Source organism: Homo sapiens, chromosome 5 (genome assembly GCF_000001405.40).
Source record: "Homo sapiens chromosome 5, GRCh38.p14 Primary Assembly".
Taxonomy (NCBI): Eukaryota; Metazoa; Chordata; class Mammalia; order Primates; family Hominidae; genus Homo; species Homo sapiens.
Window position 1 is genome coordinate 67,739,181 of NC_000005.10, and position 12,223 is coordinate 67,751,403.

The following is a 12,223-nucleotide window of genomic DNA, read 5'->3' on the forward strand; positions in this document are numbered from 1 at the left end:
CTCTGTTTATATGCTGGACTACGTTTATTGATTTTTGTATATTGAACCAGCCTTGCATCCCAGGGATGAAGCCCACTTGATCATGGTGGATAAGCTTTTTGATGTGCTGCTGGATTCGTTTTGCCAGTATTTTATTGAGGATTTTTGCATCAATGTTCATCAAGGATATTGGTCTAAAATTCTCTTTTTTGGTTGTGTCTCTGCCAGGCTTTGGTATCAGAATGATGCTGGCCTCATAAAATGAGTTAGGGAGGATTCCCTCTTTTTCTATTGATTGGAATAGTTTCAAAAGGAATAGTACCAGTTCCCCCTTGTACCTGTGGTAGAATTCGGCTGTGAATCCATCTGGTCCTGGACTCTTTTTGGTTGGTAAGCTATTGATTATTACCATAATTTCAGCTCCTGTTATTGATCTATTCAGAGATTCAACTTCTTCCTGGTTTAGTCTTGGGAGAGCGTATATGTCCAGGAATTTATCCATTTCTTCTAGATGTTCTAGTTTATTTGCGTAGAGGTGTTTGTAGTATTCTCTGATGGTAGTTTGTATTTCTGTGGGATCGGTGGTGATATCCCCTTTATCATTTTTTATTGCGTGTATTTGATTCTTCTCTCTTTTTTTCTTTATTAGTCTTGCTAGCGGTCTATCAATTTTGTTGATCCTTTCAAAAAACCAGCTCCTGGATTCATTAATTTTTTGAAGGTTTTTTTGTGTCTCTATTTCCTTCAGTTCTGCTCTGATTTTAGTTATTTCTTGCCTTCTGCTAGCTTTTGAATGTGTTTGCTCTTGCTTCCCTAGTTCTTTTAATTGTGATGTTAGGGTGTCAATTTTGGATCTTTCCTGCTTTCTCTTGTGGGCATTTAGTGCTATAAATTTCCCTCTACGCACTGCTTTGAATGCATCCCAGAGATTCTGGTATGTTGTGTCTTTGTTCTCGTTGGTTTCAAAGAACATCTTTATTTCTGCCTTCATTTCGTTATGTACCCAGTAGTCATTCAGGAGCAGGTTGTTCAGTTTCCATGTAGCTGAGTGGTTTTGAGTGAGATTCTTAATCCTGAGTTCTAGTGTGATTGCACTGTGGTCTGAGAGATAGTTTGTTATAATTTCTGTTCTTTTACATTTGCTGAGGAGAGCTTTACTTCCAAGTATGTGGTCAATTTTGGAATAGGTGTGGTGTGGTGCTGAAAAAAATGTATATTCTGTTGATTTGGGGTGGAGAGTTCTGTAGATGTCTATTAGGTCTGCTTGGTGCAGAGCTGAGTTCAATTCCTGGGTATCCTTGTTGACTTTCTGTCTCATTGATCTGTCTAATGTTGACAGTGGGGTGTTAAAGTCTCCCATTATTATTGTGTGGGAGTCTAAGTCTCTTTGTAGGTCACTCAGGACTTGCTTTATGAATCTGGGTGCTCCTGTATTGGGTGTATATATATTTAGGATAGTTAGCTCTTCTTGTTGAATTGATCCCTTTACCATTAAGTAATGGCCTTCTTTGTCTCTTTTGATGTTTGTTGGTTTAAAGTCTGTTTTATCAGAGACTAGGATTGCAACCCCTGCCTTTTTTTGTTTTCCATTTGCTTGGTAGATCTTCCTCCATCCCTTTATTTTGAGCCTATGTGTGTCTCTGCACGTGAGATGGGTTTCCTGAATACAGCACACTGATGGGTCTTGACTCTTTATCCAATTTGCCAGTCTGTGTCTTTTAATTGGAGCATTTAGTCCATTGACATTTAAAGTTAATATTGTTATGTGTGAATTTGATCCTGTCATTATGATGTTAGCTGGTGATTTTGCTCGTTAGTTGATGCAGTTTCTTCCTAGTCTCGATGGTCTTTACATTTTGGCATGATTTTGCAGCGGCTGGTACCGGTTGTTCCTTTCCATGTTTAGTGCTTCCTTCAGGAGCTCTTGTAAGGCAGGCCTGGTGGTGACAAAATCTCTCAGCATTTGCTTGTCTGTAAAGGATTTTATTTCTCCTTCACTTATGAAGCTTAGTTTGGCTGGATATGAAATTCTGGGTTGAAAATTCTTTCCTTTAAGAATGTTGAATATTGGCCCCCACTCTCTTTTGGCTTGTAGGGTTTCTGCCGAGAGATCCGCTGTTAGTCTGATGGGCTTCCCTTTGAGGGTAACCCGACCTTTCTCTCTGGCTGCCCTTAACATTTTTTCCTTCATTTCAACTTTGGTGAATCTGATAATTATGTGTCTTGGAGTTGCTCTTCTCGAGGAGTATCTTTGTGGCATTCTCTGTATTTCCTGAATCTGAACGTTGGCCTGCCTTGCTAGATTGGGGAAGTTCTCCTGGATAATATCCTGCAGAGTGTTTTCCAACTTGGTTCCATTCTCCTCATCACTTTCAGGTACACCAATCAGACGTAGATTTGGTCTTTTCACATAGTCCCATATTTCCTGGAGGCCTTGCTCATTTCTTTTTATTCTTTTTTCTCTAAACTTCCCTTCTCGCTTCATTTCATTCATTTCATCTTCCATTGCTGATACCCTTTCTTCCAGTTGATCGCATCGGCTCCTGAGGCTTCTGCATTCTTCACGTAGTTCACGAGCCTTGGTTTTCAGCTCCATCAGCTCCTTTAAGCACTTCTCTGTATTAGTTATTCTAGTTATACATTCTTCTAAATTTTTTTCAAAGTTTTCAACTTCTTTGCCTTTGGTTTGAATGGCCTCCTGTAGCTCAGAGTAATTTGATCGTCTGACACCTTCTTCTCTCAACTCGTCAAAGTCATTCTCCATCCAGCTTTGTTCCATTGCTGGTGAGGAACTGCGTTCCTTTGGAGGAGGAGAGGTGCTCTGCTTTTTAGACGTTCCAGTTTTTCTGCTCTGTTTTTTCCCCATCTTTGTGGTTTTATCTACTTTTGGTCTCTGATGATGGTGATGTACAGATAGGTTTTTGGTGTGGATGTCCTTTCTGTTTGTTAGTTTTCCTTCTAACAGAGAGGAGCCTCAGCTGCAGGTCTGTTGGAATACCCTGCCGTGTGAGGTGTCAGTGTGCCCCTGCTGGGGGGTGCCTCCCAGTTAGGCTGCTCAGGGGTCAGGGGTCAGGGACCCACTTGAGGAGGCAGTCTGCCCGTTCTCAGATCTCCAGCTGCGTGCTGGGAGAACCACTGCTCTCTTCAAAGCTGTCAGACAGGGACATTTAAGTCTGCAGAGGTTACTGCTGTCTTTTTGTTTGTCTGTGCCCTGCCCCCAGAGGTGGAGCCTACAGAGGCAGGCAGGCCTCCTTGAGCTGTGGTGGGCTCCACCCAGTTGGAGCTTCCCAGCTGCTTTGTTTACCTAATTAAGCCTGGGCAATGGCGGGCGCCCCTCCCCCAGCCTCGCTGCCACCTTGCAGTTTGATCTCAGACTGCTGTGCTAACAATCAGCGAGACTCCGTGGGTGTAGGACCCCCAGAGCCAGGTGCGGGATATAATCTCGTGGTGCGCCGTTTTTTAAGCCCGTCGGAAAAGCGCAGTATTCGGGTGGGAGTGACCCGATTTTCCAGGTGCCGTCCGTCACCCCTTTCTTTGACTCAGAAAGGGAACTCCCTGACCCCTTGCGCTTCCCGAGTGAGGCAATGCCTCGCCCTGCTTCGGCTCGCGCACGGTGTGCGCACCCACTGACCTGCGCCCACTGTCTGGCACTCCCTAGTGAGATGAACCCGATACCTCAGCTGGAAATGCAGAAATCACCATCTTCTGCGTCGCTCACGCTGGGAGCTGTAGACCTGAGCTGTTCCTATTCGGCCATCTTGGCTCCTCCCTCAATTTATTTTAAATTACATTTTAAAATTTTATTTCTCAGAGATGTTAGAACATACTTCTTAACTCATGAAATCTGTTATCTTTGTGTGCATGGATGAAAAAAAAGCTATCCCATAACATTTTCCCCATACCCTTATCTCCAGCCCATCAGTAACATCTTTTCTAATCAGATTATAAAAGAGAGAAGATAAAATAAACTAACTGCATCTTGGAAAGAGTATGAGCATGAAGGCATTGTCTAACATTGTTACAGTAGCCTGTTGTCTCCATGTAGAAAGTGAAGAACCTGGATTCATTTGCTCAAAGAATAGAAAGCACTTTCTATTTTCAAGGAACTTTCAGTCTAGAGAGATATGATTTGCCACAATTGCATATGATTAATACATATCTATAAATAATCTCAGATAAGGAATATATAAGACATAGTCCTAGATGAAGAAAACACAAAAATTTGCATATAAAAATATATACCTTGTTATTTATATGTATGTATATACATACACACACATATTCCTTATATTTACACAGTCTTTTAAATATATTTATACAGTATTTCTATTAATTAGGGAATATACATGTATATATGCACACCATAGACATACACACCTTTTCTAAGGTGGATATTTTATTATCATCAGTTCTGTACAAGTTAATAATTTCATTTAAAATCCTAACAAACAGATATCTTCTTAAAAATCTGATAAAATTATTTTAAATTCACTTGAACATAAAAGGAAACATTCATGAATGACTAAAATACATTTAAGCATTAAAGCCAGGGTCCCCAACCCCCAAGCCATGGACTAGTACTGGTCCATGGCCTGCTAGGAACCAGGCAGCACAGCAGCAGGTAAGCAGTGGGTGAGTGAGTGAAGCCGAGTTTTGCCTCCTGTCACATCAGCGGAGGCATTAGATTCTTATAGGAGCATGAACCCTATCGTGAGCTGCGCATGCAAGGAACGTAAGTTACGTGCTCCTTATGAGAACCTAATGATAAATGTAATGCATTTGAATCATCCCAAAACCATCCACCACCCGACCCCACCCCTGTCCATGGAAAACTGCCTTCCATGAAATTGGTCCCTGGTGCCAAAATGGTTGGGGACTCCTGCATTAAAGTACAAGAGGAGTCATGTTCTATCAAGTGTTTTAGAATCAAGACTGTTACTTATTTTAAAATTTTCTTTCATATCATATTATAGTACTATAATAGTACCGAAATAGTTAAGTACTAAAAAATGTTTGCCAAAGTAAAACATATCATAGCACTGTAGTCCTTAAAACAATTCCAAAATAATTCTACTCATAGGAATTGATTTTGCAAATATTCTCACATAGTTTTGAATTCACATATGCATAAAGCTATTCACTGTAACATTGTTTTTGATAGCCAGAAAAGAGAAACAATCTTCCTGTCCATCAATAGGGAACATGTTTAATTAATTAGAACACATCTATGACTCAAATAATATATTGTTGTAATACTGAATGAAGAGGCTTTTTATCTGACTACATGGAAATATCTTCAAGATTTACTGTTAATTTCCAAAAAAAAAACCCACCAAAAAACAGAAACAAAAACAAAAAAATAACAGCAAAGTGCAGAACAATGATTATATTATGTTAGCATTGTGGAAAAAAAGTTTATTTTATTTATCTGCTGTATTTGTATATATTTTATGTATATCTAGGATAATGTATAATAGACTAACAATAGTGTTTGCCCGTAGGAAAATTAAATGGGCAAATAAAAATGACAGGGAACCATTTTTACTTTTGGACTTTTGAACCATGTGAATTTATATTATTTAAAAAATAATATAAAAATAAGAAACCAAAAACTCTAAATAGTGTACTTCTATAATTTACACAGAAAAATAAAGCAAAGATAGTTCTCACTCATAGGTGGGAATTGAACAATGAGAACACATGGACACAGGAAGGGGAACATCACACACTGGGGCCTGTTTTGGGGTGGGGGAAGCGGGAGGGATAGCATTAAGCGATAAGCGATATACCTAATGTTAAATGAAGAGTTAATGGGTGCAGCACACCAACATGGCATATGTATACATATGTAACAAACCTGCACGTTGTGCACATGTACCCTAAAACTTAAAGTATAATAAAAAATAATAAAAATTAAAAAAATAAAAAAATAAAAATAAATAAATAAATAAAAATAAAGCAAAGATAAACCGTAGTGTGTACAGTGTATGATAAGGACAGCATCAAAAATCAAAAAGAGGATCCTGATTTCCAGTCTGGCATGTAAGGAGCTTAGAAGTTATCACTTCATCCTAACAAGCAAAAAGCTGATAAAACTGAAAAATCAACAACTCTTCTTAGATATTTCAGAAAAAATGAGTTCACAGGGCAAACCACTGCCCCCAAAATTGGAGAGATGGGCAGATGCAGAAAATCACAACCTACCAAATAGGGAACCTTCCTACGAAACAGTCCTGGGTAGGAAAACCTGAACTCTGACAAACTGCTAAAAACTCAGTGTATTCTAGTCTGAGAGTTAAAAACTCAGGGGGCTCAAGTCATAGGAGGACCCCTAAGCCTTTGTGATTTTTACTTTTAGGGGCTCTAGCAGGATCTTGCCATGACCACCAGAGAGAAATCCCCTTGTTCCTCTGGCAGGGAATGGGAAAAAAGTAGGCATTTAAAATACATCCCAGAGCCTGTGTTCTTAACAAGGCCTGCCCTCAGGGGAAGCTATTTTACCAGTGCCTAACCTACTAGAGTTTCATCAGTTTATAAGAGCCTAAGTAGTCTAGTAGAATACCCAACTCCATCCTCCTCTGGCCACCCTGTCTTACCTAAGGAGTGAGTGAGGGGATTGAGAAGCACTTGTAAAGGTCACAGCCCAGGGCACAGGCTCACTAAAAGCCTGAAACCTAATCACAGGACTACAGAATGCTTTCTCTCCCTTCATACTTACCACCACACCACTAAAGGCCTATCTACAGCAGTTTCTTTTACACAGTACATCATGTCAAGATTTCTGTTGGGGGAACCCGCCCCAATATTTCAACGTAGGTTCTTTCTATAAGTGTCAGCCAGCTGAGAAATAAAGAGAGACAGTACAAAGAGAGGAATTTTACAGCTGGGCCGCCAGGGGTGACATCACATATCGGTAGGACCATGATGCCCATCTGAGTCTCAGACCAGCAAATTTTTATAAAGGGTTTCAAAAGGGGAGGGAATGTAAGAACAGGGAGTAGGTACAAAGATCACATGCTTCAAAAGGCAAACAGCAGAATTACTAGTAAGGGTCTAACAAAGATCACATGCTTCTGAGGGAACAGGACAGAGGGCAAAAGTAGAACTACTGATAAGGGTCCAACAAAGATCAGAAGGCAAAGGGCAAAAGCAGAACTGCTGATAAGGGTCTATGTTCAGCAGTGCACGTATTTTCTTGATAAACATCTTAAATAACAGAAAACAGCGTTCAAGAGCAGAGAACTGGTCTGACCACAAATTTACCAGGGCAGAGTGTTTCCCCACCTTAGTAAGCCTGAGGGTACTGCAGGAGACCAGGTTGTATCTCAGTCCTTATCTCAACCTCATAAGACAGACAAGTCCAGAGTGGCTGTTTATAGACCTCCTCCCAGGAATGCATTCCTTCCCCAGGGTATTAACATTGATATTCCTTGCTAGGAAAAGAATTTAGCGATATCCTCCCTACTTGCACGTCCATTTATAGGCTCTCTACAAGAAGAAAAATATGGCTCTTTTTGCCCAACCCCGCAGGCAGTCAGACCTTATGGTTGTCTTCCCTTGTTCCCTAAAAATCGCTGTTATTCTGTTCTTTTTCAAGATGCACTGATTTCATATTGTTCAAACACACATGTTTTACAATCAATTTGTACAGTTAACACAATTATCACAGTGGTCCTGAGGTTACGTACGTCCTCAGCTTACGAAGATAGATAACAGGATTAAGAGATTAAAGACAGGCATAAGAAATTATAAAAGTATTATTTGGGAACTGATAAATGTCCATGAAATCTTCACAATTTGTGTTCCTCTGCCACGGCTCCAGCCGGTCCCTCCATTTGGGGTCCCTGACTTCCCACAACAAATTTCAACAAGTAACTACTACAAAGCAAAAAACACATTTGAAGAGACACAGCAATCATAAGATCCAGATGCAGGCATGGCAGGGATGTTGGAATTATCTGACTGGGAATGTAAAACTGTGATTACTATGCTAAGGAATGTAATGGAAAAGGTAGACAGCATGCAAGAGCAGAGGAATAAGGTAAGCAGAGAAATGAAAATTGTTAAGAAAGAATAAAAAAGAAATCCTAGAGATAAAAAACACTGTAAGAGAAATGAAGAATGCCTTTGATAGGCTCAGTAGTAGACGAGATGTGGCTGAGGAAAGAATCTCTGAGTTTGAGGATTTATCAATAGAAACTTCCAAAATGGAAAAGTAAAGAAAAAAAATGGAACAAAATAGCCAAGGACAGTGAAACACCTACAAAATGTGTAATATACCTGCAATGGGAATACCAGCAGGAGAAGAAAGAGACAGAGGAACAAAAAATGTTAGAACCAATAATGTCTAAAAATTACCCCTAAATTAATGCTACACAATAAACCACAGATCAAGGAAGCTCCAAGAATACCAAAAAAATTGAATAACAAAAAAAACTATACATAAGCATATCATATTCAAATTGTAGATCATCAAAGATAAAAAAAAATCTAAAAAGGAGCCAAAGGTGGGGGAAAAACCCACCTTAACTATAGAGGAACAAAGATAAGAATTACATCTGATGTCTCAGAAACCATACAAAGCAAGGAGAGAATGGACTAAGATATCTAAAGTGTTTTGAGAAAAAAACTCACCTACCTAGAATTCTGGACCCTGAGAAATTATCCTTTAAAAGTGAAGGAGAAATAAAGACTTTCCTGGACAAACAAAAATTAGGAGATTTGTTTTCAGCAGACTTGCCTTGCAAGAAATGTTATCAGAAATTCTTCAGAGACAAGGATAATGATATAGGTCAGACACTAAGATTATGTAAAGAAAGTAAAAGCATTCGAGAAAGAATAAGTGAACCCTAAGTGACATAAGAGGGTGCATCCAGCCTGACACACTATAGCCAGCAGCACCTTCAAATGGAATGACCATGTGCAGGGTCACACAATTTCAGAGCAACATGGTAGGAGCCACTTGCAGGCCGGGCTGCAGCTCCCTGTAAAAGCGTCTCTTCTGCTTACATGTTCACTAGCCCAGTAACAAACCAAGCATACCTAAAAAACCTTCCCTGGAAGGAGGGGCAACCCACTGACACCCATTTGACTGAAGGGCTGAAACGAGGGAAATGAAATGTTAAAGCAATATCCTACAGATTATGGCCACTGCATTTGGTTGGTTTGTTCAGAGCTGTTCAGGAGGAAGTACATGCACAAAATCTCTTTGATGAAACATCTTGTGGCACACTGTGATAGAAAGGCCCCTTGTGCAGAACCAGGATGTTTTGGGGATGAGCTATGTTTGTCTTAAGCAGGGCCAGGCTGTGTTTGTCAGGCCTCTGAGCCCAAGCTAAGCCATCATATCCCCTGTGGCCTGCACTTATACATCCAGATGGCCTGAAGCAACTGAAGATCCACAAAAGAAGTGAAAATAGCCTTAGCTGATGGCATTCCACCATTGTGATTTGTTTCTCCCCCACCCTTAAGAAGGTTCTTTGTAATCTCCCCTGCCCTTAAGAAGATTATTTGTAATTCTCCCCACCCTTGAGAAGGCACTTTGTGAGATCCACCCCCTGCATGCAAAACATTGCTCCTAACTCCACCGCCTATCCCAAAACCTATAAGAACTAATGATAATCCCACCACGCTTGCTGACTCCTTTCAGACTCAGCCCGCCTGCACCCAGGTGAAATAAACAGCCTTGTTGCTCACACAAAGCCGTTTGGTGGTCTCTTTACACAGACACTTTAGACAGTGTTGATACTCCCTATGCATCCTTCTATCCTTTTGCCTGAAGCTGCACTGACCCCCTACTTCCTCCTTTAGTGTGCATTAGATAGCGCTGCCAGGTCTCCCTACTTTCAGCCAAAACCTTAGATAGCCATGAACACCTTAGTGAGAATAATCAGACAAGGAATTCATTCATTCACAGCAAAAACTAAGTACCTTTCCAAAAGGCACTTATTTCCCATATTAGGCTTATACTGAAGTGTGGAACAGCAGTATGCTCTGTTTCCGAGTTTGAGGAAACTTGGGGAGAGGCAGATGTCTTTCCATGGGCAGCTGAAATCACAGCATGGCCCATTCCTGACAATCCATGCTTAAGTGTCTGTAAGGCAATGGTGTCTCTTTATTCGGAAAAATTTCCCTAGAGACGTTCTGTGTATCTGAAAAGGACCCATCTTGTGTCCATCCAGCACTGTTCTTTGTAGAACTGAATCACCCCACCAAAGAGTTTCCATGACAAAAAGGTCAAAGGCCTGACTTTAGGTTTAGGCTACGGGAATGATAGCATCCTGGAGCACCCTGTTTCTGTGTATAAAGAACTGCAAGGTGAAAGTCAGCAGTCTCAAGACTTTCTAATAGCTCAAGGCTAAGAAAAACATCTTTTCCATGGTGACTCTCATGGCTTTGTTTATAGACACAGAAGCTAGCCTCCAGCCCCAAGCAGAAGTTTGCTGGAATTTATTTGTTGGAGGTGGTAGTATCTTGTTTGTATTGTTAATAAAGCAACTTCTTTAGAAGTATATATATACACACACATATATATATATATATATATATACGTATATATATACACACACACATATGTATGTGTATGTATATATACGTATATATATATATATATATATATATGGAAAGGGATGAAGTACAAAAAAATGAAGTTGGTGATGGTAATAATAATATGATGCTGATGACGATAATGATAGCTAACCTATCTAACATTCAGAATGTGTCAGACACTGCTCTCTGCACATTACATGTTATAATTCGTACTTACCTTACCAAACTTATGAAGTAGGTATTATTGTATTTAATTTACAAATGAGGAAACTGAGGTAAAAAGAGATTAAGTTCATAGTATATAGCTAGTACCTAGCTTAGTAGGTTATAGATTTAAAAATTAGTTTCTTGCCCATATCGTATACCAAAATAAATTCTAAGAGAATTTAATTTAAACAGTTAAATCACAAAATTAAATCAGAAAATAACTAGAAGAGAATTTTTTTGAATATTTATATGATGTCTGATGGGGTAAGATATTTTCCAAGCATAAATACAGTGAAAGAAATCATAAAGGGAAATCTCAACATCTCTAAACACCTACTTTTAACTTTGAAGTGTCTACAAGCACACAAAATTAAGAAGCAAAACATGCTCCTGAAAAGCAAAAAAAATACTCCTAATGGCTAATACCCTCAATACGTAAAGTGCTTATAAAAGTCAATAAGAAAAACAATAATACCTTGAAAGATAGATGATCAAAGAATAGGAAAAGACAATTCACAAAAGAAAAAAATAAACATTACTAGGGCTATATGAAAAATAATAATAATAGCTATTATTGAGTTTTTAATCTGGGCCAGGAACTGTACTAAATAATTTTATTAAATTATTAAATCTTCAAAACAGTTGTGTATGGTATGCATACCCAAGATCACAAAGTTAGTAAGTAATGGGAATAGGAACCCAGGTCTGGCCAACTCCAGACTCATTATTTAACCATTATAGTATACTTCCTCCCGTGGTGTGCAACACATTCCAACTTGCAAGGGTCCACTGAATACCTCTTCCCAACTCTATGTTCAGTCATGTTGTGTTGGTGGCTTGAAATGGGCCATGGTGGCCCATTTCAAAGATCAGTAAATGCTACAAATGAGCCCCCACCACCTCCCCAGACAGCTAGTTGTTAAATATTTACCATAATACAAAAAATGTGAACTAAAATTCCAGTTAGATACTATGTTTGCCTAGAAATTAGCAAGGATTAACAGACAATCACAGTAAACTAAATTTTGATGCTGAAGGCATGTAAATTAGCTCAACCTTTTTGGAAAAGTATTTGGTAGTATGTATCAAGAGTCTTTCAGAAGCTTATATATTTCAATCTTATAAATCTACTACTGAAAATCTAGAGGAAATAATCAGAGATGCATATAATGACCTGTGGGTGTTCATTTTAATATTATTTAAAGTAAAAATGTGAAAACTCCTAAAGTAGACAATATGAGGACTACAGTTAAATAATATGTGTAATAATCATATGATGATATATAACAAAGCTATCAGAAAGTTTTGTTTTTAAGTGGAGGAAGATGGCAGATAGGAGACAGGGCTAACATGCAGCTCTCACCTGGACAGACAGAACAGCATGTGGGACTCACACTGTGGACTTTTGCTCTAAGAATCACCACAGGAATGTACCAGGAAAGCCAAAAGAATTCACAGAATCCTTTGAAAGGAGTGACATGCCAACCAG

At 39.3% G+C, this 12,223-nt stretch overlaps 1 annotated feature.

Annotated features, from left to right (window-relative positions):
* Nucleotides 9,061-9,355: a silencer, noted in NCBI's record as "tiled region #2818; HepG2 Repressive DNase matched - State 6:EnhF". NCBI's record gives its function as "represses a minimal TATA promoter and a strong SV40 promoter by Sharpr-MPRA in HepG2 cells {active_cell/tissue: HepG2}" and the evidence as "EXISTENCE:reporter gene assay evidence [ECO:0000049][PMID:27701403]".